Genomic DNA, 27,778 nt, shown 5'->3' with positions numbered 1-27,778 from the left:
GCTTATCACAGGCTGTGCACGGACAGTGACACCCAGAGAGGCTTAGGTCCCTAGGACAAGGGAAAGGTATCCAAGAAGTTATGTGAGGGGACAACACGTCTCATAAAAATGCCACTTTTTTTTCACATCATCTTCTTTTGAAAACAGAACAGAAGGGAATGTCTTATCTGATGTCGACAGCAGACAATTCAATGGAGACAGACTTCCCTCCCCAATCTCAGTAAAGAGGTGGTTATTTTACGGAAAGAAAAAGGACACCAGAAACAGAAGAAAGACACATCTCCATTTACTTGAAAAGAAAAAAGCTGAAAAGAACCTTTGCAATAAAAAAGTGTTATAATTTTAGGCATGCAAACCTGTGCGTTCACACCTTTCCCTACGGCAGCCCTTTCTCCCAGGTTCCAGGAGTAGAGCCCAGGGCGCATGTCTGAGTTTGTCTCTGGATACTAGTGTCAAACACCTGGCCACCCGTGAGCACAGCTCACGGAGGAGGCAGAGCAACAGGACAAACGGGTATCTGAAGATATCATTCAACAGCCTAGAATCACACTGGTCCTTAAAGGAGAAAGCCTTCCAGTTTCCTCGGCTCAGCTTTTCCCAAACTTCATGCACCACCTTTGTGGCTTCTGCCACATTCAAAGACCACCTAAACTATCACCTACTTCAACTCTCTTCAACTTTAAATTCTTTCAAATCTTAAGTTTATCCTAAGTATTAATATTTATGAACTCACACCTTTGGTGTCTTTTTAATACACATTAAAACATATACAAATAATCAACAAACATGACATGTAATTTAGGAATTTTGGAAACACTCATCATATCAAGCTACATTTTGTACAACTATTGAGCAGCTGGAAAAATAGCCACAAATCCAACCACCATCTCTTTATTCTCAATGTCACCTTTTTTTTTGGTTTGTTGTTTTTGTTTTTTCGAGACAGGATCTCACTCTGTCACCCAGGCTGGAGTGCAGTGGTACGATCGTGGCTCACTGCACCCTCAACTTCCCAAGCTCCAGCGATCATCCCACCTCAGCCTCCCATGTACCTGGGACCATAGGTGTCTGCCTCCATGCCTCGCTGATTTTTGTATGTTTGGAAGAGTCAGGGCTTTGCCATGTTGCCTAGGCTGGTGTCGAACTCCTGAGCTCAAGTGATCCATTTGCCTCGGCCTCCCTAAGTGCTAGAATTACACGCGTGCTCCACTGCGCCCAGCCTCAACAAAGTTTAGATTCTAAACCAAAGGTCTCAGAAAATATTCAAAATTAGTTATTTGGTCTTGTGTGATTTTCTTTCTTTTATTTTTCTCGTTCATTCCCTCCTGGTGTACTTGGTCCATTATTCCTCTTAATACAGTCTCTTTAAAAAGCAAAAGACCTTCCTTTTAGGGGTCAAATGCACATGACTATTCATTAACTGTCGCACAGAACCAAAAAGGACCTAAAAGAACACTGCTTGACTTTTTGAACAGCCTGGTAAAAACTATCAAATCAAGGAAACCAAAGACTTCAGTGGTGGGAAGTGTTTAAAGAGATTTAAAGGTATAATCTGATCACAGCTATTAAAAGAGAAACTACACTGCCAAAAAGGGCTCTTCCCAGTGGCTGAGATTTACTTTATCAGATAATGCACCTTCACTAATTACATTTCGTTATACAGTTTATGCATTTAGCAAAGAAGAAAAAATGCTTCACACATACAATTAAATCAATCCATTGAGGCCTTTCCCTTAAGGTAAGGGAACATTTTCAGCTTTTCTGTTCGGAAGATTTTAATGCCTGATGGCAGGAGTGGGGGTGGATCTCAGAGGCGTTTTTAGGATGATTATCCAAACAACCTGAAAGAGTCCGTCCAGGCCCAGATGCTTCAGGTGCCAGAATGCAGTCACAGCTGAATGCCCAGCTGGGCCTGAGTGCTGCTAATGAAGCTGATGACAACTTTTAGGTGATGTCCCTGCAGGCTGTGGACCTCAGATAGGACAGGCCCCAAGGCACCCAGGCCCTGCCTCCCTGACCAGCTAACAGTCAGGGTCTGGTGAAGCCAGTGGGCTCCTGGCCAACACAGGAAGGGAGGGGTCAATAAAAAGGTTGTGCGACAGCAGGGGAAAGCTGAACAGAATGCCAACCCGCTGGGAGGCTCTGCCAGGAGCCAGCCCCAGCCATGAATACACGGGGTCTCCAGCCTCTCAGCTGGCCAGGCTCAGCACTGGGGTGAGGCAAGCATTTGGATTTAGGAATGCACATTCCATGTGGTAACAGCTATCCTGACCAGCCACCCCTGACCTGACTCTCCAGATGAGCCGGGGCACACCTGCCAAGCCCACCTGCTGGTGATGGGGCGCACTCATGGGGCGCACTCATGCCGTTTGCAGAGACCAGAATTCTGTCCTCCAGTGTCAGCAGTGTTGTTGCCACACTTTCTTCCATACGCTTCCTTCTAACTATTATCACATCACTTAAATATCACACAAATCGATGAAATGGGAGTTTTAATAATAGTAACTATAATGACATCATTTGATTAAACATTATACACACTGACTAAATAAGAATTTAAATAAGAGGACTTTTTCCTATGAAAATTAAGTTGAATGTTTTGGTAAGTCTCAATGAAACAAGCTGCTTTAAAAAACAAAAAATGTAAGTACGTGTGGGTAAGACAATTTTAAAGATGGAGCAGCAGCCGGGTGCAGGGACACACACCTGTAATCCCAGCACTTTGAGGGGCTAAGGATCACTTCAGCCCAAGAATTTGAGACCAGCCTAGGCAACAAAGTAAAACCCTGTCTCTACAAAGAAGTAAAAAAGTAACCAGGCATGGTGGTACATGCCTGTGGCCCAGCTACTCTAGGAGCACTTGAGCCCAGGAGATCCAGGGTGCAGGGAGCTGTCTGTGCCACTGCAATGCAGCCTGGGTAACAGAGTGAGATTCTATCTTTAAAAAAAAAAAAAAGGAAGAAGAAGAAGAAAGAAGAAAGAAGAAAGAAGAAAGAAGAAAGAAGAAGAAGAAGAAGAAGAAGAAGAAGAAGAAGAAGAAGAAGAAGAAGAAGAAGAAGAAGAAGAAGAAGAAGAAGAAGAAGAAAAAAGATGGAGCAATCGGGGAGTCTGACAGCAACTCTCGTGCTGCTTCTCATTCACGTTCTAAAAGGAGTCTCAGGCAGAATGTCTGCTTGCCTGCCCCCAACACCAGGAGCTCCCGCAGCCGAGCTGGTCCTGTTCACATGTGTAGCCTCACTCAGAGCTGGGCACACGCTGAGCACACAGTAGGTCCTCCTTTGTGGGGCTGAAGTCAGTGTGATGCACACAACGGCCTGCCAGAGCAGGAAGACTCTAAGGGCAGCTGCTGTGGCATTCCAAATGGAGGGGTGACTTCTAGCCAAGGTGATGGGGAAGTTGGCCACTATTTTCTGGAGAGGTGAGATTTTAGCTGGGGCAGAAGCCCAGGTGCAGAGAAGTGGGCAGGAAGCCCCTATAGGAGGGACTTCAGAGATGAAAACAGCAAGAGAGATGATGAGCAGGGGTGGCAGGACCTGTGGGGTATGGTGCAAAGGACGCAGGAGGCAGGACATCTAGAGGACAGAGGAGCACCTGCGGGGGAAGGGTGGTGGTGCCCAGTGGTGGAACCTGCTGATGGATATCACCCCCACTGCCTGAAGAACTACCCCACCAGTGCACAGCAACAGTGAGGTGCCACTGATGGGGCTCAGCCACCCCATGCCTGGTGCCAAATGCACTCAAATACCACTCCTGAAATTATGTGCATCTAGAAAGTCCTAAGTCACACAGCCATGCTGAGCTGCAAGCGGGGGTCAAGAGTCAGCTGACACACACACAGGGCACGGCACGCAATCTCCCCCCACCCTCAAGGGCTCTCAGTAATGCCACCTGGTAACACTTTCTTCATTGCATTTGCCAAGCAAAGCTCAATAAAGTTCAGACCCAAATTAGAGGCTAAGCCCCCAAAGCCAGGAGCAGAGCTGTGAGCTTTGAAAATCAGGTTGGATGTTTTAAGAAGTTTCAATAAAGACGAGCTGCTTCAAAAAAAAAAAAAAAAAGTGTGTGTGTGTGTGTGTGTGTGTGTGTATACATATATATGTATACACACACACACACACACACACACACAAAGTGTGGGCAAGACAACTTTAAAGATGGAGCAGCAGCTGGATGTGGTGGCAAACGCCTGTAGTCCCAGCACTTTGGGAGGCCAAGATTGGAGGACCATTTGAGCCTAGGAGTTTGAGACCAGCCTGGGCTACAAAGTGAGACCCTTTTGGAGGGCCACTCTGTTGGGGAAGTGAAGCCCCTTTCCCTTCATTGAGCACTGACTATATACTACAGCGTCTGCCTCTTCCCTTTCAGCAAGCCATATCCCAGGTGAGTTGCCTTTAATATGAAAATTCACAATTTCCCTGTAACACAAAGGGCTACCCAGGAAATAAGTATTGGAAAAGAACCAAGGAAATGGGTTTAGATACAAAGGAAGTGTAGGTGGTTAATATTTTAACCTTAGCTGAACAAGCACTGGCCAACAGAACCTCTCAGCCGTGACAGAAACCTTTCACTATCTGTGTGGTCCAATAAGGCAGCCATCAGCAGCACATGGCTGTCAGGCCTGGAAAACGTGGCTAGTGTGCCCAAGGAACTGAATCTTTCATTTCACTTAAATTTAGCCACAAGTGGCCTGTGGCTACCATACTGGAGGATATACAGCTACAGCACATAGAGACAATCATTCATAAAATGTTTTACTATGCATAAGACACTGATATGGTGTGAATCCTTGTCCCCATCCCAAACCTCATGTCGAACGGTAACCCCCAGTGTTGGAGGTGGGGCCTGGTGGGAGGTGACTGGATCATGGGGTGGATCCTTCATGAATGGCTGAGCACCGTCCCCTTGGTGCTGTTCCTGTGATAAGGAGTTCTCACGAGATTTGGTTGTTTACAAGTGTGTGGCACAGCCCCCTGCAACCCCTCTCTTACTCCTACTCCAACCATGTGAAACGTGGGCTTCCCCTTTGCCTTCCGCCATGATTGTAAGTTCCCTGAGGCCACCCTGAAGCTGAGCAAATGGTGCCACGCTTCCTGTACAGCCTGCAGAACTGTGAGCCAGTTAAACCTCTTTTCTTTATAAATTACCCAGTCTCAGGTATTCCTTTATAGCCGTGTGAGAACAGTTGAATGCAGATACCTGAGATTCCTCGAGCAGCAGTACTTGCCAGGCACCGGCCTAATCACCTACACGTAGTGTCACACCAAATCCTGATAAAATGTTTTCAGATGTTTGCCATTATCTCCACTTCATAGAGGAAGAAACCGAGGCTCAAGGAAGCTGGAACCTAAATGGTCTTTGGATTTAAAAGAATCTTGGGACACCCAGAGAAACTTAATTTTAAAAAACTAGTCTCTAATGCCGAGGCCAAAGAGCAGCACTGAAACCACCACCAAACACACCTAGCAAGTGATCAAAGGAATGCTCGATGAGGGCACCTGCTTCTTCTGAAAGTCTCTGCAAAGAAAGACAGGAACGGGAGGCTGCCTTTACATGGAATGTGCTTCCCACATTAAAAGGGACCCAAGCATATTTGTGTGATAAGTCTTTGTCCTCTTTTTAAGCAGGACTCTCTCACACATTATAACAAGATAATGATCTGGCTTTAACATTCCTTTTGGCCAGCAAGAGGGAGACCAGCATTAAGCAATCTGTTGTTTTCTTGAAAGGAACCTCCTGCCCCTACCTAGGCCCCATAAATAAATGGCTTCCTAATGGAGGCAGGGGCTTGTAGGTGGCAACAGCCGCTAGCCGGGGACTGCTCAAGCCTTCTCCACCAGGGCAGAAGCACCGATCACTGCTTTAGGAAGAAGAAATGTAACAACTCCTTCTCATGGAACTGGGCACAGCAAGTAAAGCAAAGGCTAGGGGGAAGCCTGGGAACTCCCTGTGAAGAAAATGAAAATAATTTCCCTTTGATTCCGTCTTCAAAAAGAAAAACCAAAACTGAAAGAAACAGAGAGAAGGAAAGAAAAAGAGAACTGAGAAGAGTTAACAAAGACGACAGGCGCTGCAAATAATTTGGATCCCGGGCCAGTCACACCATGTTTTCCTTAGATATACAACTCTGGTTTTCGTGTTCAATTCTATAAACATTCTAAATTTTTGCTGTTTTCACTAAACAAGTAAAGAGACCAGCAATCGGAAAAACAATAGCATCCACTTTCAGCTACTGATTGGCAATGGGGATTTGGGAGAACTCCAGAGAGCCTAAGAAATAAAAACTACCCAAGGCTCGGTCTCAGAACCTACAGGTTCCATAGAAAGACCTGCATCTCCTGTGAGGGGCAAAACCCAGAAAGGGTTTGGCAAAGGTGTAAGACTACAAACCCTCACACAGGGGCACAGTGAACACACCCTACCTGGGCACAGCCCCTCCAGGGATGTCCTTCGAATCCTCCAAACCTATCCACAGGAAGGTTTGCTCACAGACCATGCTCACATGGGCAGAGGGCAGAATTCGGGGCTCAGAGGTACAAGAGGCCAGGTTTGCTTTCCATTTTGCCCTTTACTGCCTATAGAGCCACCAAAAGTCTCTCTGTGCCTAAGTTTCCCTATCTGTAAAACTGAATCCCGAAGCCTACTTTGGAAGGCTGCTAGGAAGATTCAAGGATAACATACACAAGGGGACACCTGGCCAGGAGAGGCACCCACTCGGGGTCATGTACTTCCTCCAAGATCCTTTTTTTTGAGATGGTGTCTCGCTCTGTCGCCCAGGCTGGAGTGCAATGGCGTGATCTTGGGTCACTACAACCTCCGCCTCCTGGGTTCAAGCGATTCTCCTGCCTCAGCCTCCCAAGTAGCTGGGACTACAGGCGCCCGCCACCACACCCAGCTAATTTTTATACTTTTAATAGAGACGGGTTTCCGCCATGTTGGCCAGGATGGTCTCTGACAACGTGAGGGAAACTGAATCATGGGTCCCCCAAAATGTCCATGTCCCAACACCCAGAACCTATGAATACGCTGCCATATCCTTATATGGCAAAAGGAACTTTGCTGGTGTGATTAAATTAATGGCATTGAGGTGAGGGTGTCTTGAACTATCCAGGTGGGTTCAATGTAATCACAGGCATCCTTCTAAGAAAAAGCAGTAAAGCTAGGGGACAACATGATGATAGAGCAGAGGTGAGAGGTCAGAAGATGCTCCATCCGCTGCTGCCTTTCAGGATGAAGGATGGGCCCACAAGCCAAGGACTGCAGGTGGCTTCTGGATGCTAGAAAAGGGAAGGAAATGGATTCTCCCTGCACCCTCTAGAAAGAACACAGCTTTGTGGATGCATTTAAGGACTTCTGACCTCAAAGAGAATGACGTGTGCTGTTTTTCACCACTAAGTATGTTGTAATCTGTTACAGCAGCAGCAAGAAATAACTGCAATTGCTTCCTTTTACAACCGGCACTGAGCCAGCAGCGATCCACATCCTCCTCCAACACATACACAGCTTCTCCTTCCTGCCGTCTGGGTCTCGGTTCTGCCACGAGTCCATGTCCATCCCACGCATGCATGCCAGGTGCCCGCCACATGCTAAGTGCTAGCGGCTTTAGGACATGGCTTCACTTCATCAAGGAGCTTCAGTTTCTTTCTCCATAAAACGGAGAAAAACTCTGGTTCAACAGGTTGTTGCATCAACAGAGTAAGAGAACGGGCGTCCATGCTCCGCAAAGTGCCTGGCCCACAGCAGGCAGCCCACGAACAGCAGCAGCTCGGATCCCACAGAGCTGCTCATCAACCTGCAAGCACGCCTTTGCCCTCAAGTTAGCTGGCGGGGCATCACCAAGCCCAGTAAGGAATGACCTCCATGTGGGCCTCGATCTGACAACCTGCCACCTTCAGGGGCCTCCTTTCATGGAGGCTGCAGCTCAGGATGCTGTCCAGGGTCCCTGAGGGCACTAGAGACATCACGAGGTCAGTGTGGGAATCCCCACTGAGTCAGAGCCCCAGAGACTGAAGGGAACTGGCAGTGTCACCCAGCCCACACAACCTCCCAGAGGGCATATACCTGGCATTTCTTACATACCAGCAAGGATGCTGGCTCCAAAGCCACCTTCCAGAAATGTCTCAGTTCTGCGCCAGTGCATCCTCTAGTGCACAGCCCTCCTGTTTTCAAGCCCCTCCGCATATTGAGAGGCCACTGTCACCTTCCCCCTTTCCACCTTCATCTTTGTCCTTTCCTCTCTCCTCTCCCACTTCCCCTACAGGCCCAGACCCCTTGGCTTCCTCAGCCGCCCCCCACAGTGGACAATTCCCACCCTGCCCACCCCCCAGTGCCACGTTCCTCCTGGCCACCACCATCAGATGCTCTTCCCCTGCAGCCCCTTCTCCCCACCACTCCCTAGACCTCTAAATAGTCCACCAGTCCCACAGTATGCGACCGGCTGGGAAGCAGGTTGAAAACACACCTGGGTTCACAGCTCCCCAGCTGCATACTGGCACAGACCTGAGACCCATGAAAAGACAGCTCCCATACAGATGGACAGCGCAAGAACAGACACGGGGAGAAGCAAGGCTGCAGGTGTGGGTAGGGAGCTGTAGAACCTCTCCCAGGGACAGTGACTGGGGCTTGCAGAGGATGACCAGGCAGGTGCTCAAGCTAAATGACGCCCAGGGCCCATCTCCCAGCTGAGGGCAGGGCCCTTTGGGGCTCTGGAAGGGAAGGCCATGGGCCAGCTGAGGGCAGAGCAGTCCTCTCTCATGAACAAACACCGCTCCGCCTTTTCCCATTCTCATATCTGAACATCCTTCCAGCTGAAACCAGGACAGGAAAGAAGAGAGGCAAAGACATCCGACCCGCACATCCAAGCTCTAGGCACACCCTCTGCCAAGGGCTGCCCGCTGGCCTGGGGGTGGGCACACTGCCAGTGTGCTCCCTTTAGGGGGACAGACCTGTGGGAGAGGTCCACACAGTCCCCGCAACCAGGCTCAAGCTTGTACTGGGGTGAATAGTGTCCTCCCAAAATTCACACCCACCCAGAAGACACATGCCGGGAAGAGGGCACGTGATAACAGAAGCAGAGACTGGAGTGATGCAGCTGGATGGGACACCAAGGATTGCCAGGGGCCACCAGAGGCCGGAAAAGGCTAGGAGGAATCCTGCTCTATCCTCTGGAGGGAGCACAGCTCTGGGCACACCTTGATCCTGGGCTTCAGGCCTCCAGAACTGTAAAAGAATGATGTTCTGTTGTTTTAAGCCACCTAGTTTGTGGCTGTTACGGCAGCCACAGGAAACTAACACGGGGCCCCCTTCAGGCAGGGAAATCTAGGGTCCACTCATGTTAACCCCAACAACTTCCTGCCTGAATATGCATCCTGTGTTCCTCGAACAGCCTCTCCCCGGTCCCGGCTGGTCCTGCGGCATGAGGAAGGTGTCAGGCATACAACATAAATAAGAGAGGCAGGAGACAGACCTGCCCACTCACAGCACTGGTCATCTAGTCCTCTGTTCCATAAAATAAAGTGCTGGCCAAAACGTACGGCGCACTGATGATTTGTGCTTTTCACTGTTTATGAATGCTTATCTGGAAATAAAAAAACAAAACAGTAAATCAATATTGATCTCGAGTTAATAATAGCAGCTATGCATGCGGCAGTCCTTCAGTCTGCCGTTGACTTTGCAATGCATTGAAAAATAATACAAGGCCGGGCGTGATGGCTTATATCTGTAATCCCAACACTTTAGGAGGCCAAGGCAGTTCGAGACCAGCCTGACAAACATGGAGAAACTCCGTCTGTACTAAAAATACAAAATTAGCCAGGCGTGGTGGCGCATGCCTGTAATCCCAGCTACTTGGGAGGCTGAGGGAGCAGAATCACTTGAATCCGGGAGGCAGAGGTTGCAGTGAGCCGAGGTTGCGCCACTGCACTCTAGCCTGGGCGACAGAGTGAAACTCCACCTCAAATAATAATAATAATAATAAATCGAGGAATGGACAAATGAAAGATGACACAAGCAGAGGGAAATATTGTTTACAGAATCTTGGCAATCAGTGTACAAGTACTCACTATAAAATTATTTCCACTTTTCTGTATGAAATTTTTCATAATGAAATGTTGTAAAACAATAGTTTAGTGGCAAAACATTCTTTAACAGTTTCTTAATATCTTGGGAGATTGAGGTGGACAAATTGCCCACCAGCCTGGGCAACATGGTAAAACCCTGTCTCTATCAAAATAAAAAATGAGCCTGGCGTGGTGGCGTGCACCTGTAGTTCCAACTACTCAGGCGGCTGAGGTGGGAGAGTGGTTTGAGCCTGGGAGGCAGAGGTTGCAGTGAGCAGAAATCATGCCACTACACTCCACCCCGGGTGACAGAGCCGACCCTGTCTCAAAAAAAATACAAAAAGTCTTTTAATGTCAATGACATGAGAAGCTTTTGGTATTGACACTTTATAGCAGGTCTTTTAAGAGTATTTTCATCACAAATAACTAATGAGGTAAAGCACCTTCATAATAACATTCACACACAGGAATCCCTGGTTAGTTCCTGTGAGCCCCGCCCCACCTTTCGTAGGTCACACTGTTAATTATGCTGGGTAGGCATGAGTGGTGTAACTGCACAGGCAACAATGCAGATGAGAACCCTAAGATGAACTTGTTAAAGTACCCCCTTCATTCCTATAAAACAGATACCACAAAGCTAAGTGGGACCTCTTCACCTTGGTTTAAAATGCTGACAAGGGACAAAGAGTGTCATGTGGCATGGGGCCAATGCCAGGCTGCTCCTGGCTCATACCTGGCCCTGCGAAGATGCTCCTGGCTCACACCTGGCCCTGGGAGGATGCTCCTGGCTCACACCTGGCCCTGGGAGGATGCTCCTGGCTCACACCTGGCCGTGGGTGGTGGTCCAGGCTCACACCTGGCTGTGAGTGCTGGTCCAGGCTCACACCTGGCCATGGGTGGTGGTTCAAATTCACAGCTGACCGTGGGTGGTGGTCCAGGCTCACACCTGGCCCTGGGTGGTGGTCCAGGCTCACACATGACCCTGTGAGGATGACCCTGGCTTACACCTGGCCCTGGGAGGATGATCCTGGCTCACACCTGGCCATGGGTGGTGGTCTAGACCCACAGCTGGCCGTGAGTGGTGGTTCAGGCTCATACCTTGGCTCTGGGTGCTGGTCCAGGCTCACACCTGGCCCTGGGTGGTGGTCCAGGCTCACACCTGGCCGTGGGTGCTGGTCCAGGCTCACACCTGGCCGTGGGTGCTGGTCCAGGCTCACACCTGGCCGTGGGTGCTGGTCCAGGCTCACACCTGGCCCTGGGTGCTGGTCCAGGCTCACACCTGGCCCTGGGTGGTGGTCCAGGCTCACACCTGACCCTGGGTGGTGGTCCAGGCTCACACCTGGCCCTGGGTGGTGGTCCAGGCTCACACCTGGCCCTGGGTGGTGGTCCAGGCTCACACCTGGCTGTGGGTGCTGGTCCAGGCTCACAACTGGCCCTGTGTCAGGCTCAAGGCAGGCAGGCCCTCAACTACATGTGAACTGGATGAAAAGTGGAAGAACCTTAAATTTAGGAGTAGCACTTGAAGATATACTCAGAAGTATAGATGGCTCCATGGAATTTGCAGGGAGCTAGTCTCGGTTATTTGGCCTGAGCAACTAAAATCCTTCCCCCACCGAAGGCACCTGGAGGCCTCCCTGGCCTACTGTACGGCAGAAGGAATCAATTTCTGCAGCAAATAATGCTCACTAATAGTAACAGTATCCCCAGAGAGTCTGACTGCTCCAAAGCAAGGCTCAAGGCTGTCATTTAAGCCAGGTTTCTTGGTCCAAGAAAAGCATCCTGGCTGTCACCCCTGGTCATGAGCAGCCAGATCACTTTAGGATTCGATGGATAAAGGCCAGGGCTACGATCATAAATAAATTTTAAAAGGTTGTGTGGACTAAAGAAAAAACGTACATTGACAAAAGCTAATTGTAAAGAGGAAGACCTATTGACTGGTCCGGTGACATTTCCTCCAATCGCAGAGCCACATACTCGCCATGACACATGCACTCTCCCACAAAGAGGCTCCAGGAGGCATCTGAGGATGGGTCTGGGAATCACAGACCTGTCCACACCCCCCACCCAGCTTCCCACTGATAGCCATGTAACCTGGAGCAAGCTTCTTAACCTGCTGGAGCCACAATGTCCCCATTTGTAAAAGAGGGTAACAAGACCACTTCAAAGGGGTTGTGACAAGGATTAAATCAAACAGTCCAATTCAGCAGCCAGCACAGTGCCTAGCATATACCAGACCCTCAAGAAACGCTAGCTTCCTTCTCTCTCTCCATGCAGAGGCCCCTTCCCAAGCCATAGCAAAGTTCATTAGAATCAAGAGAATACAGCAAATTCCTAGAACTTACCCAGACAGCCAAAATCACCCTATCCAAGAACAGGATGATCACTTTCTTAACAATCCAAGTCCCCCCACCCCCCGCCCGGGCTATAATTTACACAGGATAAAGTTATAAAACGACAACTTCCTGTCTGACTGTAAAAATAGCCCAGTGTGTGCTGAGGACCCTGGATCCAATTAACACATTACTTTCCTCCACAGAAGGAGCCGAGGCATCTTAGTTTCTGCCTGGGCAGAGGAAAGTGGGGCTGATTAGCAGAGCTCAGGTAGCTTCTCAGGGGGTCACCTGGGCAAGAGGCACGGCAGTGTGATCTCAAGCCGTGGCCAGGACAGGAGGGCACAGAGGCAGACACAAGAGCAGTGATAAAAGGACCAGACACAGCAAAGGGGGGCAGGACGGAAAGAAATGAAGTGCTGGGGACGCCGAGTGGGCCAGGGCAGGGGGGCACAGCCAAGGCCAGGCAGCTCGGAGGGTGCGAGGCATGAGATGCTGGGGCTGCACACCTCCCAAGTACAACAGAGATGCTGCATTCAGCACAAGGCAGGTCCTGTTTGCAGACTCCCCACAGCAGCCCCAGGGCAAAGCGACTGTACTTATTTTATTTTATTTTAATTATTTTTTGAGATAGGGTCTTGTTCTGTTGCCCCAGGCTGGTGTGCAGCGGCTCACTGCAACCTTGACTTCCTGGGCTCAAAGGATTCTCCTGCCTCAGCCTCCGGAGTAGCTGGGACTACAGGCGCACACCACCGGCCGGGCTAATTTTTTTGTATTTTTTAAAAGAGATGGGGATCTCCCCATGTTGTCCAGGCTGGTCTTAACCTCCTGGGCTCAATCAATCCTCCCACCTCAGTCTCCCAAAATTCTGAGATTACAGGCATGAGCCGCGACACCAGCCAGCATCCCCATTTTAAAGATGAAAAACACAGAGCCATGGTGACTTGCCCAGGGTCACCCAGCTGCAGAGGACCGGAGCCAGGACTGAACCAGAGCTGTCTGGCTCCAGGGGCCCTGCTCTTAAAGAGGACTGAGGGTTTTCACAAAAGAAGGCATGTGGAGGAGGGTTTTGTGAAGGACTCAGAGATAGTCCTGAGTCTGCCAGGCCACCAGAAAGCATGGGGCAGCGGAAAGGAGAGAAGCCGGACTGCTGGGGCTGGGGAGGCACCTTGGCGAGTTGACTGCAGGAAGGGAAAGCAGTCTCACACACCATGCTCAGAAACACGTGCAATCCGTGCTATTCAGGAACAGGGCGCTCTGCCCCAAAACACACAAGAGGGAGGGGGCTTCGGGGAACCATCTCTCCCCACCGTTAGTGCCAAGTGGTGCAAAAAAAGACACCTTTCCACTCCTCACGCCACAGAGACAAAAAGTATAATCACGTGCTATAATCACTTGATTGCAGTCATAATATGTTATGATTTGACTACACTGCTTATCAAGGCATGAGAAAATAAAGGTACAGTTTCAATCACACTTAATGTAACAGAGGAATCAAGGAATCACTTTAAATCATGGTGAATAGCCTTAAAAGTTAACTAAAAACTGATTTCCTTTAGAAGATTGCTTGACATAATCTTTTACATGCAAAGGTGTAACACTACACATACCCCAATCTCTCAGCTCAAATATTTTGCCATCATTTGTTAAGATGTGTGTTTTTGCTATTTTGACAATGTCAAGGTATGAGCTGGTTTGCTTTGGAGAAAAACCTCAAGATAGTCCATGGAAAAGCCATAAATCTAAGTTAAATGAAAAGCCTTGAATTTTGTAAAATATGACAGAAGTCCAACTGGGAAGGGTATAAAGAAAGCTATGTTTCAACTTGACTGGAAGTCATGGCTCTCCTCTGCAAACAGAAGCGGCTTAGGCTCCGATCTGTCAACAGTTTTTAAATCAAAGGCCTTAGTTTCTGCCTTAAACACTAAGTCAATTACAGTTCTAATCCACAAAAGGTATGTAATGGGCCTCTATTTAAGTTTACAGATACTTTTTCCAAATACTGAATTAGCTAAGTAATCCTCTCAACATCCTCCCCAGCTAGGCAGACAGCAATAAGCCTCAAGAACACTTGCCTGGGGCTGGGACTGTCCAGGGTCAGCCCTAAACCTTAGAAGGAAGCCAGGCACACCCATCCCCAACTCTTCAGCCCTCCCCTTCTCCCAGCATCCCTCCAAGTCAGCAGCCAGAGGAAGCAGGAGATAAAGGGTGTAACTGTTAATAATTACACACCTGAACCAACGAGTAGGAATAAAGAAAAATTCTACCATGTCAGGAAACCCCTCCCAACCTCGCCCCCTAAATCAGTGGAAGAGCTTAGGAAGCCCTCCTGTTCTTACCCGCAGACCCCAGCAGCTCCTGACCTACAAGGTTTCCTAAACGTCATTTGTTTGTGGGCAGTTTAAAATTGGAGATACTCTTCCCTAAGGAAATAACATTGGAAACAGCGACTAGGTCTGTGGACAATTCACTGAAGCCTCCTCATCCCACAGTGAAGCAGAAACTCTGTGTTCACATAGAGAGCACAGGCGAGGAGGCAGTGACCCTATGGAAGCCAACACAACAGAGAAGGCTAAATGGACACCCTAGGCTCCTGCCACAAGCCTTCTGTGCATGGCCCAAACAACCAGGCAGCGGCACCCACTCCAAAGAAACACTCCCACCTCTACTGTCTGTGCTGACATTCTGGTCAACATTTTTTATGACTTTTCAAGGACACATGAGAAACTGATGGAGGGTGGAGCATCTGGCTGTGACCTGAGGTTTCCTGGAGCATCGCTTGGCCTAGTGGAGAAGGCAACACCTGAGGTTTAGAAGGTTGGAAAGGGGAGGTGCACTCATCTACTGCCGCCGTGACCACTCAGCTGACTGGTTTAGAACGACGTGATTTCACTGTCTGACAGTTCTGAGGGTCACAAGTCCAATGTGGGTCTCACCAGGCTTAGGTGTCAGCAGGGCTGTATGCCCTTCAGGAGGCTCCAAGTTTCCTCATCTTTTCCGAAATTTTAGATGCCATCCACATTCTTTGGCTGGTAGCCTCCCTCCATCATCAAAGCCAACAGTGCTGCAACTCTCTCGCCCTCCTTCCACAGTCCCCGACTCTCCTCTTTCACTTCCCTCTTCTACTTTTAAGTACTCTCATAATTACCTTGAGCCCACAAGATCATCCATCTCAAAGTTCTTAATCACATCCGTAAAGTCCCTTTTGCCATGTGAGGTAACATCATCGCAAGTTCTGGGGATTAGGGGACAGGCATCTCGGGGCCATTTTTCTGTCTACCACAGTAGGGGAAGGGATGGAGGGAGGCATGGGGAGGTGAGGAGGGAGGGATGGAGACGGGAAGGGAAAGGAAGCAGAAAGAGAGAAAGAAAGAAGAGAAAATCAATCAAATGATCTAAGCATGCTGATATGAAGACAGCCAAACATGCCGTGGAGGGGAAAACCAACTTGTACAACAATATTAATAGAATTTCATTTTCCTTTTAAAAAATTGACAATTACCCCATCTTACACCATATACAAAAAGTAACTCAAAATCAAAGACCTAAACGTAAAAGAAACCATCAGAAAACTCTTAGAAGAAAACACAAGGAGTATATCCTCATGACCTTGGATTAGGCAGCGATTTCTTAAATATGACACCAAAGTCCAAATAATCAAAGAAAAAACAGGTAAATTAGATTTCATTAAAATTAAAAGCTTTAGTACCTCAAAGAATATCAAGAACATTAATGGACAAACCACAGAAAAAAAGAATATATTTGCAAATCATATATCTAATAAGTGTCTAGTATCCAGAATCCATAAATAACTCCAACCACTCAACAATAAAAAGACTCAATTTAAAAACAGTCAAAAGATTTGAATAGGTATTTCTCCTAAGATATACAAATATATAAATATGCTTTAAGATAAGCATATTTAAAAAAAAAAAGGTCAACACCATTAGTCACCAGGGAAATGCAAATCAAAACCACAGTTGAGATACCACATCATACCCACCAAAATGTTAAATTTCAGGGGTATAGAAAATTTCTGGGAGGCTATAACGTAACATATAACCACATAACAGTGGTCACGTCTGGGGATCTGGATGAGGGATCATGAGGGATATCCTTTAGCTTTCTATTTCCTGTGCTAATTTTTTCTACACTGAGTACACATTATTTACATAATGAAAAACTGATTTTCAACCTTAGAGAAGAATGTTCGCAATGAGAGATACCGACACTAACGTCAATCAATCACTGGCACACGGCAAGCACCCACCAGCGTCTGCAGGCGCTCATCACAGACGCCTCTGGCTTGCCACAGAGAAGCCGATCAAGTACAAAACATCAGCACTTGCTTGTCAGAACAACCTTCCAAACAGTCTTGGGACACCCAAATCACCCCTTCATCGTATTTTTATAAAGACTAAGCTGGCAAGTTTCTAAAAAATCTTCAAGCCAACTGTGGTGGCAGCTCAGGCCTATAATCCCAGCACTTTGGGAAGCTGAGGTGCGAGGATCACTTAAGCCCAGGAGTTCAAGACCAGCCTGGGCAACATGGCAAGACCCCACCTACACACACACGAATACAAAATATTAGTCGGGTGTAGTGGCGCATGCCTGTAGTCTCAGCTACCTAGGAGGCTGAGGTGGGAGAATTTCTTGAGCCTGGGAGGCGAAGGCTGCAGTGAGCAGAGATCACACCACCGTACTCCGGCCTAGGACACACAGCGAGACCCTATCTAAAAAAAAAAATCTTCAATGACGTGTAATGAACTTTTTTTTTCCTTATTAAGAACAGACATGTCTGAGGCTATGGTAATGATTTCACAGCACTCACATGTGTATGTGCTCTCCTTCTACCCACAGTACCTTGGGGCTCCTCAAGAAATCAATTTGCACAATGTGTTTATGGCTGAGGGCATAACGGCATTATTGTAAGTTGCTGCGGCTGAAAGCGGGTGCATCTTTCTAATCGCACATTTCGAGGCAGAGTCCTTTGTGAGGAATGCAGTCCCCATCCCATAACATTGTTCCTATGGGAAAACCAGACTCAGCTTCCTGGAACTCAGTGTGGGGGAAAGTAGGCTGGCCTCTCTGGGGTCTTTTTATTTCTCCTGAAGGCTACGACTGGAGGGTAGCGGGGTTAAAGCAGAAAGGGAAAGGAAGTGGATGGAGACATGAGAACATTCTGGAAAAGCTCTGAGTATTTTCAAGGGCTTGAGAGGTCAGATTTCAAAACATGGTTTTCCTGGTCACACTTTATTCTTGGAATCAATCATACACATATCTCCCAGAGATGCTGGGAGACAGGGAAACCAAAACCAAGAAAGACACACAGAGGTCTCCAAAGCACAGAAGCCTGTCAGGGACAGACAACAGAGGTGATGAGAAGGAGGTGACAGAATAGAAAAGGAAGAGGTGACAGTACTCAAGGAGGAGAGCCTGGTCCATCTCCACTGAGCATCCCACCCACCTCTACACACAGCCCATGCGGAACCGAGTAATCCCCATAAATGTGCGTGTGTACTGCATACCCTGCGGGGCCAGGCACACAGAAAGGCCCCTTCCACACAGGGAAGGCCGCCAGCCTCCTACTCGCCATCCCGCTTCTCCACAGCCCGTGCCTGGTACTCTTCCCACTCACAGATGGACTCTGCCCCAGGTGTATCTGCCTCTAAAGACCACTTTGTTCATCTAAACCTATTATTTTACAAACAGGCAGCCTCTGGAGGGGAGCTCACCTGTCCAGGACCACAAAACCTCACTCACATGGCGCAGGGCTCAAGAAAGCACCAATAGGTTCCTCAAATGTCATTTAAGCATCAACAGTTAACTGTGAATCTAAAGTGTCTAACTTCCCCTTGTCGAAATGTAGCCAAGTCCGTTGTTTTCATAAGGCACAACCCCAGCACGTACCATGAAGGTGCACACGGCCATGGAGCGGGACCTGAAGTGCCCACTCTGGGGTCAGGCTGTCTGGGTGTACCACAGCAAGTTCCTCGACCCTCTGTGCCTCAGTTTCCTTATCCAGACAGCAGGGAAAGTTCTAGGACAGGATGCTGGAAGGATTAAGTGGGCTTCTTCAGGTTAAGCACTGAGAGTTATTGGCACAGAAAAAAAGGCCAATAAATGTTCACTGACATCATCGTTTCTCATTTTCCATTTTTTATAAGTTCTCTTTATATAAGTTCTCAAAAGCCAGAATCTTCGGAATGAACTCAGACTTCATGCCTTTTACCAAATCAAGATGACTCCAGAGCCTGTACCCAGCATCACCGTCTTCGGAGTGATTTCCCTTCCCAACGGCGATACATGGACAAGCCTTTCCAGTCTTAAATAAAATCAACACGCGGTGAGCAACAGCTTCCAAGGTGAACAAACTGTGATCCCATGAAAGAGCCGGGCTCTGAGCATCCCCATGGCCAGCCCAGCTCAGTTCCAGCCTTCCCCTCTCATTCCAAGTGGCAGTTCCCAGGGCTTCACCTCCCAGGATCATGAATGGTGGTTCACGTCCCACAGGCTCTGCTATGGAAGCAAGCAGGAGGCAGACCAGGTCAGCAAGACAACCAGACCCACGGGCTCCAGAGCTCACCCCAGGACCCAGTCCCCTAAGTCCCCAGTCCCGCGCCAGCTGGGAAGGCCAAGTCTGCCTTCGGGATCCGCCCCCCAACCTCCAGAAAGCCCTGAGTTGCACAAAAGAGGTGTGCACTAAACGCTATATCCTCAGAAAATGATCAAACCTGGATTTAAAATAAGACAGCCCTCAGTTCAAACTTGACTTCTACATTGCCAATGAAGAGCAAAAGACCACACAAGCTTAGGTCAGGAATTTAGCCAAGACACTTCCAGTAACACATTCACTCCAGGGTAAATAAGTGCCACTTCTCAAATATACAATAAGCAACGACTTTCAGATTCACGATCTTACAGTCTGAAAAGTTTAATATTCATCTTACTGTACTTTCTAAGGCAGTAGACACATATAACTATCTTACATTCATTTGTGTTAATTTACATATAGTAGCATGTTATTTACTTGCACATAGGGGAGAGAGGGAACCAGAGTATTGGAAAGGAAGACCACCTTCCACTGAACTCAGCAGAAGGCTCCTGATGCCTTCCCTCCCCCAAGGTGCCTGGTCAGAGCAGAAAACAGGTAAACGGTTAGGCACTCATGGCCCTCTGCTGAAGCCCTTCTCTGGTTTGTGTCACCCCAAAGTCCCCCAAGACTGCCTTGTCCCATCCTGAAGACCTAGGTGTGGGCAGCCTGGACGAGACTGGCCTGGGCCTTGGGGTCAGTGTCCCTCCTCTCTCTTCTGTAGCCACTGGAGCAAAGGGTAGCCCCAGAATGCAGAAGGCAGGTATAGGCCAAGGACAAAGGGGACCCAGGGGGTCACAGGCTTGTTCTTGGACCTGGACCTGGGGGCTGATCAGTGGCCTGGACAGAAAGGGTGCTCTGTGATTGGCCAAGGCATGAGGGGGCAGCTCTGAGGAGCTGCTGCAGGTGTGCAGGCCACGGTCCACCAGGCTGGCTCCCTCCCACATGCACAACCCTTCTTCAGGTCTCAGTGCCCCCGTCCATCCTTCTGGAGGCTTCCAGAAGCCAAGCTGGAGGCATTGCTCTCCTGCAGGATGCTGTTTCTCCCTCACATGTCCCACGTGCCCCACAGGCAGAAACACAAGGACACAGCAGATAGGTCTACATCGCTTTGTTTTTGAGGTCTAAGTATTGCTTTGCCTCATTGTGTACATGGCCCAGAGCAGGTGCCCCAAATATTCCTCAGCCAATCAACCAACCAACCAATCAATGCCCTGCACAAACCTGCAAACTCAGGCCTCACACACATGGCATGACCCCGAACCAAGTCACTATTTAACTTCTGTAACTCAGAAATGAGTGATGACCCCCAAAGTCTCCTCTCCTGAGCACTTCAGCCAACCAGGGCTTCACTACGGTCTGAATCACAGAAGGAGACTGACAAGGCCAAAGCAGAAGTTCAAAAATGTGGTTTGGGCCAACTTCCTTATATTCTGCCAAAAGGAATCTGATGAAAAGACCCCAAGGCCTGCATAGCTCATGCACAGCCCGGCCTCCAAACATGACTACCTCTTCCTGCTGCAGGACAGCTGGCGGTGGCAGAGGGAACATGACATAAGCTGCCTTCGCTTGCAGCCAGTGACCCCCATGCCGGCCCCAGTCCAGCCCTGGATGTGCCTGGAGAGTGTGCCCCACATGCCTATTCCCTGAGCTCCACCCATCCACCTGCTTGAGGTCCACGTGTGTCACTGGCAGGAACCAGCCATCTATGAGCATCTTCCTGTGCAAGTGGCCAGGCTTTGCAGACTGGACTGGGGACTGCCTTTACTCAGACACTAGAAATGGAGACCAACGAACACAAAGAGACAGGGCAGGGCGGCAGGTTCTGTGCATCACAGAAGTGGGTGGGAGCGGCAAGAAGGATGGCACTGCAGGGCGGGCAAGCCTCTGGCTCCTTTAAGAAAGACTTTAGAAACATCCATCTGGAAAGAAGAATCAGCAACCCCTGTGCCTCTGCCTAGGAGCATCCAGGCTGACCCTGGCGGCCGCGCTCTCCTCATCCCAGCCCCACCCCACGATGCTGAGAAGGCAACTGCTCCACCTCCTCTCCAGGACCCTCTACAATTGAACTGGCTGGAGAGAAAGCATTGTTTGAAAAACTCAAGAAACAATTCTGGCCAGGCACCGTGGCTCACACCTGTAATCCTGGCAATTTGGGAGGCCAAGGCAGGCGAATCACCTAAGGTCAGGAGTTTGAGACCAACCTGGCCAACATGGTGAAACCTTGTCTCCACTAAAAACACAAAAATTAGTCAGGCATGGTGGCAGGCGCCTGTAATCCCAGCTACACGGGAGGCTGAGGCAGGAGAACTGCTTGAACCTGGGAGGCAGTGAGCCAAGACTGCGCCACTGCACTCCAGCCTGGGCAACAAGAGCGAAACTCTGTCTAAAAAAAGAAAGAAAGAAAGAAATGGTTCCGTGATTTTAAAAGGGAAAGGAAAGAGAAGAAAGAAACAGCTCCAAGTGGCATCAAGGCATTTTTCAAGGCACTTGGAACCTCCAACCACAGGCGTGTAAATGGACCATCCTCCCTAAAGCTGGAGCCCTTCTGGTGGTTTCCTGAAAGGCACTGGGAACAGCAGGCCCACATGCAGCAGGGGCTTCTGATTAAAGGGCTGTAACACAGCAGCATGGCCTGGCGTTTTCTTTCCTTCCCAGGAAATCAATGCCCGGGCACAGGTGCCCCATCTCTACTCTGGGGTTGTCAAGAGCTCACCCCTGGGCCCTGGGAGGGACCTCAAAACAAATGTCACTTGGCCCAGTCACATGCAAACTTCCCAAATAAGAAACCCAAATAAATGGTGCGGAGCAGCTAAGCAGGCCACTCTCTGCTTCAGCGTGAGCACCGTAAGGCAGGCTGGACCACGCTAATTAAAATGAGATGCTCAAGATCAGAGTTCCTAATTACCTGCCAAATTAATGTGCTGTCTTATAGGCTCCTTCTGCTTCTCCCAAAAGTCCTACCTTCACTCAACCTTTCTATTTTTGAAGATCACTTTCCCCAGAGCCCTTCGGCAGGTCTCCTGCAGTGACTGGGTGGTATTAGTTACAAATAAGCTTCCCTAAATTTCTGGCCAGAGGTGAGTCACACAGAAAACCTTTGTCCACCCAGTAAGGGGTCCAGGAGGGCTGACCTCAGAGGGCTGGTCTTGGCACACGCCGCACCACGGGGTGGGGTGGGAGGCGGAGGCAACCGTGCTTCGGGATCCTTACGTGGAAGTTCCTTTCACTTATCAAGTGAATCAAGCCATTGTCGGGTGGAAATACGACGTCAGTTGCTCAGCATGAGGAGTGCCACTTACGAATGTCACATGTGCTCAGAGGTGCCCTGAACGCTCCTCTCCTGCACCCCACCCTCACCTGCTTGAGACTCTGGCAGTTGGCTCCCTCCAAATCCAGGGCCCTGGAGGCAACTTTCCAAATGCTGGCTCCAGACGTAAACTGTACCTGGGTCACCAGGGACCAGGCTCCACTTCACGCACAAATGCCACACCCCCAAATGTGAGCCAACAGGCCAGAGAGATGCGTGGACTCGCCTTCTTAATATTGACAATGATGATTCTAGCAGAAGCAATTGTTTACTAACTACTCACCATGTGCTAGTGACCTCAAATCAGTTCTTAACTAATCCTAGCAACACAATCATGTAGTTTTTAAAACTAGCTGTGGGATTAAAGGAGAAGTATGTAAACAACTATGTTTTATTAAAAATTCACAGGAACATCGTGACCTGACCAAGACAAAAAAAAACCCAACTTCCTCTGACCCCCACTGCCTCCCAGATGTCCAGTCGTTGGTCATCTCTTGATCTCAACCCCCTCCTCTTCCCCCAGCCCTTAATATAAAAAGCCTAAAATCTGTACTGACTTAAGACAGTACTTGAGAATGTTAGTTCACCATCTTCTTGGTTTTCAAATATACCTGCTGTTTCTCCCACCAACCCTTGTCTCTCAAGTCTGGCTTTCGAGTGGTGAGTAGCTGACTGTATATTCAGTTATAGTATTAATGCTACTTGCAGATGAAATAAAGCAGAGGCTCAGAGGAACCACCCAGCTAGGGAGCTGACTGAAAACTGAAACCCAGATGTGGCTGTCCCCATACCCTTCACTGTGTCACACACACAATCAGATGCACATGTGTGGATGTATGTGTGTGAGAAGTTACGACCAAGGCAGGCGCTGCCTCTCTGCACTCCTTGAGCCCACAACAAGGCCTCCAATGCTCTGCAGAGTCAGAACCCGGCTCAGCAGAGAGAGATGGGGCCCATCACACTCTGTCAGGCACTGCATTCTGCAGCTGGCTTTCTGAAACTCAACTCTCTCCACTTTGGCCACTGCTCTCTCCTCACTCTTCACCTCTCTGAACTCTCCTGGTCTCCTTTTCCTCCATTCTCTGGGTTAAGCCTCTCTGCATCCCTCACCCACAACCCAGCTCCAAACCTCTGCCAGGTGTGTGTGCACCTGCCCATACGCCGCATCCCCAGTGCCTGGCCAATGGGAGCAGCATCCCCCTACACACATTGCGGGTGAGCTCATGAGGGCAACTGAATCCAGGTGTGAATGAAGGAGTAGCAGAAAAAATCCCACACTTCCCAGGAAGTCCATTTCCCAGTGCTCTGCACTGCACTCAAGCAGCCAATGGCTCTACTTGACTTAGTTGGTCTTCCTGACCTCCAACAATGCCAAGCCTTAAACACATAATGAAATCCCACTTGCATTATAACGACACCAAGGCAGCACTCCAAACCTGGCTTCCTAAGCTACTTCCAGTTATTAAATGTCCCCGATAGGATTTCTTGGCACCAATGTCTCTCTCTTTCCTGCAGAAACTGTATTTCTCAACACCAGCAATAAGCAGAACTGCAGGTGGTTCTCAGAAGCCCTGTCCAGACTACCGCGGCCAGAGTTACGGGGCAATGAACACCAAGCACACAACAAACACTTCCCTGCAGGCCCCTTCCAGCGGGTGGCAGTACCGCGGCCAGTTATGGGGCACTGAACAGCCAAGCACACAACAAACAGTTCCCTGCAGGCTCCTTCCAGCAGGTGGCAGGGACCAGAGAAAAAAACATTAGCTCTACAACTCCAACTAGAGTTCTTTCAAGAAATCTTGTGAACTTCCTTTTTAAAAGACGGTAAAATTAACCAGGAGAAAGCTGGGATCGCCCTCCTGGCTCCTCACAGCTGAAAGACAGCAGTGGCCGCCTCCAGCATCACTAGAAGCTCCTGAGGCCCAGCAACGCTCAGTTTGTGTTCTCCAGAGGACCCTCTTTCTACGCCTTCAGGATCTACCAGTCAAGGTGAAGAGCAAAGGTAACATTCAGAGAAAGTCTTTTAGGGTTTGTCCTGCTTTCCCTAAAGATGCTCCACTCACAAATGCTCAGCAAACATCCTGCAGGAAAGAAACAGCACCCACCTGCCACGTGCCTTGGAAAGAAAAACGTTTTAATTAGTCTCACAAAGTGTCCTTAGAATGCATGCAGCTCAGGCTGGCAATGGTAGTTGATGCCTATAATCCCAGCACTTTGGGAGGCTGAGGTAGGTGTATCCCTTGAGCCCAGGAGTTAGAGACCAATCTGAGTATCACTGGACGACCCGTCTCTACAAAAAAAATCAGCCAGGTGTGGTGCTGCGCACCTGTAGTCCCAGCTACTTGGGAGGCTGAGCTGGGAGGACGACCTGAGCCTGGGGAGGTTGAGGCTGCAGTGAGCTATGATCAAGCCACTGCACTCCAACCTGAGTGACAGAGTGAGACCTTGTCTCAAAAAAAAAAATCTGTCTAGCCCCTCTCTCCTCACCCTTTCAGAATCAACTCAAGAGATGCAGAGGCCTGGAAATCCTGATCCAAGAAGGCATACAAGTGAGACATGAAGACCTTTCCCGGGTGGCCCCACCTCAGATGACATCAAGCAACCAACTCACACCACTGGAGGTGGCCAGGGAGGTGGGATGCCCCCGACCCCCCACTTCTCTTCCTCAGAAGCAAACTCACTCTTAAGAAACACTATCTATGGCCGAGCGCGGTGGCTCACGCCTGTAATCCCAGCACTTTCAGAGGCCGAGGTGGGTGGATCACTTGAGGCCAGGAGTTCGAGACCAGCCTGCCCAACATGGTGAAACCCCATTTCTACTAAAATACAAAAATTAGCTGGGTGTGGTGGTGCACGCCTGTAGTCCCAGCTACTCAGGAGGCTGAGGCAGGAGAATTGCTTGGACCCAGGAGGTGGAGGTTGTAGTGAGCCGAGACAGTGCCACTGCACTCCAGCCTGGGCAACAGAGTGAGACTCTATCTCAAAAAAAATAAGATAAAAATAAATAAACACTATCTCATCAGCATCAAAGAGCTCACTCTTTGGCCACAGGAAGGATTTGCGATCGTCACTACATTCCGCATCATGCCCGGAGATCCCCACGCCTCAGGTGTGGATGGTGCTGATCCTGTGCTACAGTCCTGCTGGGCCCTCGGCACCTCTGCGGCAAACACACCTGTCTGTGGCTCCCAGACCGACGCCTGCAGACCCTCATCAACTCTGAGTCTGGAGTCGCAGGTGTGGGGTGGGGCCCAAGAACTGGCATTCTAGCACACTCTGGGCAGGCACTGACACTGCTGTGAATGGCATTTGAGGAGAGGAAGGCAGAGCTGGGACCAGGACCTGACAGCCCGTGTGCATGCTCAGTGACTCCCAATGACGAACAGCTATGAGAAGTCACTGGCAGTGATTTTATGAAGAGCTCAAAAGGCAAAGGGAACACAGAGCCCCAGAGAAAGAGTGCCAGAGGGGACCCTAGTACAGGGCATGAACGTGGGGACGTGCCCTCCTCGCCAGTCAGGGCTGCGGAGAACACTGTGACGAGGAGGTGCCTCGGGCTGCCTGTGTGCTCGGTGATAATCCACCTGCTAAGACTGCCACGGGTGCTGGGAGTGTGCAGGCTGCACGCAGGATGATGGTTCTGCCCCACTCAGGGTCTACTCCAGATGTGGACATGCCACTTGATCTCTGAAGCAGCAACCCTACCCGTCCTTCCTAAAAATGTACAATACAAGGACATCCATCATATTATACAGCTGCAGACACCAAAGAGTTATGTGAGACTACCAGAGCCAAGGCCCAAGGCCCAGGTGGTTCCCCCACCACTGAAGACAGCTTCACACCTGTGGTCATCCGAAAACGTCCCCAGCCTCTCATCACCCTCCACCTGCGCAGGGCGAGTCCTCCCACTCACTCCACTAATCCCCATGCTCCCGGGGATGTTAGGCCGCGGTGAGATGCAACTAGGATGTTGTCTATACCTGTTTGTTAGAGTAAGAATCCTGAGAGGTGTAAACAGTTCTATATAGAACGCGAACTGCTAAGAGCACTCTTAAATGCATGTGAATGCTCGTAAAGTATCAATACATTTGCCAGGTGCTAAAACGTGAACAGTATTAGGCTCATTTTTAAAAAATTAGATGGTGCCAAGGAGTTTTAAAGAAACAAAAGTAATCCAAAGGAACAAAAGCTGCCCACAGGCACGCGGAAGACGGAGGAGCAATGCAACTCTGTACGTGAAAAAGGCTGCCAACACCATCTAGAACAGCAAGGCTGGGCTAAAGGCACAGGCTGGAAGCGAGGGTCTCATGCTGGCTGATGAACACCCTGCATTGCCTCCCAACCTCAACAGCATCTCTCCAAGTAGCTGGGGGAGCTCTCTGGGGTCCTCTGACAGGAGGAGGCTTAAGCAGTCTGCAACCCTGCACGCTGACCTTCCCAGGTGAGAGCTGGCATCCCAGCAGGCTGCACTCGCCAGCTCTCTCCAGTCATCCCTGTCCTCCACGTTCCCCCCAGCTTTGTCACCTACAGAAACCAGGCCCTTCTAGTTTGTATTCCTTAGAAATAAAAGGTCTGGAAAATCCTGCTGAACGTGGCAAACTGTCCTCAAAGAACTAGGAGGTATAAAATCCAGGAAGAAGAAGGCTTGAATGATTTAGTCATTAGCATGAGCTCCAAGTACCCTGGGGTTGTGTCTCTACAAGGAGAGCAGGTCCCAGTTTCTGCACAAGCTGCCCTGCAGTGCTTTCCACCCAGGCTCGGACCACCTTGCAAGCAAAGCAGGGCAGGTCCGCTCCAGAGCAGGGGTACAGATGCTTTTTCTGTAAGGACCAGGTACAAACACAGCCAAAGGCAATATAAGCGAAAGGCTATGGCTGTGTTCCAATAACCCTTTATGTTCAAAAACGGGGCAGTGGCCTGAGTTGGCTAACCCACGTCCCAGAGCACCCCTAGTCAAACGCATGGGTACTTTTGTAATGAAAGGTGCACTCTCACATGAGCAGATAACTCAGGTTCTGCTGCCAAATGAGTGGGCTGCAAAAATCAGTGCTTTGGGGTTTTTGAATTCCAGATAAGGGGCTGCAGGTCTTCATACATCGTGGCATTTTTTTTTTTTTTTTGAAGACGGAGTTTCGCACTTTTTGCCCAGGCTGGAGTGCAATGGCGCAATCTTGGCTCACTGCAACCTCCACCTCCTGGGTTCAAGTGATTCTCCTGCCTCAGCCTCCCGAGGAGCTAGGATTACAGGTGCATGCCACCACGCCTGGCTAATTCTGTATTTTTAGTAGAGACGGGGTTTCACCATGTTGGCCAGGCTGGCCTCGAACTCCTGACCTCAGGTGATCCACCCACCTCCCAGAGTGCTGGGATTACAGGTGTGAGCCACTGCGCCTGGCCCATTGTTGCATTTCTGAAGGTAAGTTGGAGAGTGCTGAAAGAAATCTGAAAGTGGAGGAGAAGGAAATGGGAGAAAGTGAGCCGATTCAGCAGC

The 27,778-nt window shown here is 49.4% G+C and overlaps 1 protein-coding gene across 3 annotated transcripts in view, besides 2 other annotated features; it reads right to left on the bottom strand.

Annotated features, from left to right (window-relative positions):
- The window catches only part of AGAP1 (ArfGAP with GTPase domain, ankyrin repeat and PH domain 1), a 637,751-nt gene that overhangs the window by 555,732 nt on the left and 54,241 nt on the right, over positions 1–27,778 (bottom strand). The window lies entirely within an intron of this gene.
- Positions 8,395–8,895: an enhancer, noted in NCBI's record as "H3K4me1 hESC enhancer chr2:236475811-236476311 (GRCh37/hg19 assembly coordinates)". NCBI's record gives its function as "activates a minimal SCP1, AML or CMV promoter by ChIP-STARR-seq in primed H9 embryonic stem cells {active_cell/tissue: H9 hESC(primed)}" and the evidence as "EXISTENCE:reporter gene assay evidence [ECO:0000049][PMID:30033119]".
- Positions 14,055–14,224: an enhancer, noted in NCBI's record as "experimental_57171 CRE fragment used in MPRA reporter constructs". NCBI's record gives its function as "activates a minimal promoter by MPRAs in K562 erythroleukemia cells, with activity observed for the introgressed 2:236470567 variant allele {active_cell/tissue: K562}" and the evidence as "EXISTENCE:reporter gene assay evidence [ECO:0000049][PMID:34662402]".

The sequence above is a fragment of the Homo sapiens genome, chromosome 2 (genome assembly GCF_000001405.40).
Source record: "Homo sapiens chromosome 2, GRCh38.p14 Primary Assembly".
NCBI classification, from domain to species: domain Eukaryota; kingdom Metazoa; phylum Chordata; class Mammalia; order Primates; family Hominidae; genus Homo; species Homo sapiens.
The sequence above is the reverse complement of the archived record's forward strand: the minus strand, read 5'-3'. Positions and strand labels throughout refer to the sequence as shown.